Here is a 3455-nt window from a genome sequence, read left to right as displayed (position 1 = left end):
ACATAGAAAATTATTAATTTTTCGCAAGAAAACTGATGAAAGCCAAACTGATGTAAATGAATATACTGTTTTCTAAATTCCACAAAGCAACAATTTCACCTTCAAGAGACTCCAACTTGGCTGGTTACTGTGGCTCACAACTGTTATCTTAGCACTTTGGGAGGCCAATGTGGTAGGATCACCTGAGGTCAGGAGTTCAAGGCCAGCCTGTGTAGCATTGTAAAACCACATCTCTAACAAAATGCAAAAATTAGCCAGGCATCATGGCGGGAACCTGTAGTTTCTGCTACTCAGGAGGCTGAGGCAAGGGAATCACCTGAACCTGGGAGACAAAGGTGGTTGTGGTGACCTGATAATTACCATGGAACTCCAGCCATGGTGACAGAGTGAGACTCCATCTAAAAAAAAAAAAAAATTCCAGACTTGAGTTTGAATTTTTTCAACCTATTGGAAAGCAAAGTTTCAAACTTATACAACTAGATATTCTAGCTGCATACAAATTGACTCTCCTAATTACTATTTACCTGTATTTTCATATGTTCCTAACATCCCTTATGTAATATATGCTACTTAGTGCTTTAAAATCTCCAGTCCTTTATCTAAAAAAGATTTTTTGACAGGTTCCTGCCCTATTGCCTAGGCTGTAGTGCACTGGCGTGGTCTTGACCCACTACAACCTCTGCCTCCTGGCCTCAAGGGATCCTCCTACCTCAGCCCCCCGAGTAGCTGGGACTACAAGCACACACCACCAAGTCCGGCTAATTTTTTGTGTTTTTTATAGAGATGGGCTTTGTCAAGCTGCTCAGACTGCTCTTGAACCTCTGGGTTCAAATGACATGCCCACCTCAGCCTCTCAAAATGCTGGGACTGCAGGCATAAGCCACCACACCTGGTCCCGTTAACTAAAAATTGATGAGTTCTTCAGGAAGAACCATTGAACAAAATGTGCATTCAGCAATAAAACTGCAAAAGAATATAATCCCACAGTTTTTAGTGATGGTGCTCTCTGTATGTTTCAGTTCATGGGTCATTCTGACTCAGAGTTAGCAAGCTCTTATGAACTCCTAAATGAATGGGCCATCCTTCCATTTATGTTTTCACAGAGCAAGAATTTACTACTTAACACATATCAAGCAGCATACTGGGAACAAGTTATACAAATGTAGACAGATATAGTCACTGTCTCTAAAGACCTCACAATTTAATCAGGGAGAAATAATCACAATAAGGTATAACTTCATAACTGAGGTAAATAAAGACTGCATGCAGGAACGAGACCTAAATCATTTGCTCAGTGGGAGTCAGGGAAGATATCACCAGGGTGACAGTCCAGCTGTGTCTTGAAAGACAGTATGGTTTTATCAGGAAGAGAAAAGGATTGACATTCCAGGTGAGGAAATACAGCCATGGCGGTTTGTGTGAGGATGACAATCTTCCTCAAAGCCTTCAGAAACTCACAGTTAAATAAACAGGAATCTAGCCAGTCCCGTATCTTGCAGATGAAGTTATTAGTCTAAACACAATCCAAACATCTCAAAAAACTGTGCTTCCAACACTCATTTTTATAGCTGGAGCAAGCCCAATTCCTATCAATGCTATATAAAATTGTAAAGGGTGTGCACTTAACATTAAACAAGTAGGTCTCATTGAGAAGCCCCAAGCAAGACTTAATGCTAGGGTAAAGCCTTGCTACTTTTAACATCTGGCAGCAGCAGTTCACGATGTAGGCCAAAAATACTGCTGTAAATCCAGTGTGGTCTAAGACATACACTTAGAAACAGAATATGATTTCTTAAAAAATAGATTCAATCCCACTTGCTGAAATAGACTCCCTGCCACTCCTCATCCTCACTTTCTCTTGTCCAGTTACTTCCCAGATGACCAGATCAAATGGCCACATGGATGACCTTTGCAGCCCTGGTGACTCCTTCACCCCAGGGACCTTGAACTTTGTTCATTTCCATGACTCCATCCAATGGCAGCACAGTGCATTTGCTTTCCAGTATCCACCTGAAACCTAATCCTGCAATTCTGTACTCTTGGACAATTGTTATAATTCCACCTGCCAGTCTCTCCAGATCTAGTCCTTGATCCCTGAGACCGCTAATCCACCCTCCCTTTCCCCCTGGGTTAGCTGCCACTTGCCCCTCCTCTGCTTCCCTTCACTATGCAAGATAAGCCCAGAATCTTCAGTTAAATAGGCTGCCATTCTCACATCAAATAAGGTAGGCTCTGCAAACCTCCAATCCTTAAACATCTTCATCTTTCCACCCTCACTGAAAGGTGAAGAAGAGATGGATGCTTAGAATTCCTCCACGGACCTACCAAAAGTAAAAATAAAAATAAAAAATAAACTCCCCTCCAAGCACATGGTTTGGGCTTACTTAATTTCAGGCTCCCCCAACTACAGCTGGGCCCTCAATACAGGTGATCAGTCCTCTGTGCCTTAAAGAGCTGTTCTTCCGTTACACACTTGAGCTGCTCTGTACCTCTGAGCTGCTCCTAAAACCCATGATCTAACCCTCTAATCTGCCTGAGAAGATGGAGCTTATTTAGAGTGTGCTTCTCATTATCCCAACTTGACTGTTTACCTCTGACATTCTTCCTTTTCTACTTGTCCCAGAGGAAGCAAATGTGTTTACGTTTCAAGGCCCATTCTCCTTTTTCTTTGCAATGTTGACCCCAGTTCCTATTGCTCTTCTGGGGCCTTGTTACCTCAATTGTATCATCTCATTCCTGGATCTTGAGCCAACCTACTAATAGCTGCAGGAAATAGGTACACAGTAAAATATTTGTAAATACCACCTGTTGGGAACAGTCCCCCAAAATCTGGCCATAAACTGGCCCCAAACTGGCCATAAATAAAATCTCTGCAGCACTGTGACATGTTCATGATGGCCATAACACCCACACTGGAAGGTTGTGGGTTTACCAGAATGAGGGCAAAAAACACCTGGCCCGCCCTTGGTGGAAAACTGCTTAATGGCATTCTTAAACCACAAACAATAGCATGAGCAATCTGTGCCTTAAGGACATGCCCCTGCTGCAGATAAATAGCCAAACCCATCCCTTTATTTTGGCTCATCCCTTCATTTCCCATAAGGGATACTTTCAATTAATCGAATATCTATAGAAACAATTCTAATGACTGGCTTGCTGTTAGTAAATAAGTGGGCAAATCTCTGTTCAGGGCCGTCAGCTCTGAAGGCTGTGAGACCCCTGATTTCCCACTTTACACTTCTATATTTGTGTGTGTGTGTGTGTGTGTGTGTGTGTGTGTGTGTGGTTTAATTCCTCTAGCACTGCTGGGTTAGGGTTTCCCCAGCTGAGCTGGTCTCGGCAAGGGGCACCCATACGCAAGGGGTTGAATCCAGGTCAAAGGATCACTGGAGTGATGGTTGGAGAATGTGGAACCAGCTGGAGGACACCCAAGTACTCTTAAAGCAATCCCCTTG

Source organism: Homo sapiens, chromosome Y, assembly GCF_000001405.40.
Source record: "Homo sapiens chromosome Y, GRCh38.p14 Primary Assembly".
Taxonomy (NCBI): Eukaryota; Metazoa; Chordata; class Mammalia; order Primates; family Hominidae; genus Homo; species Homo sapiens.
Note: the sequence above shows the minus strand (reverse complement) of the source record.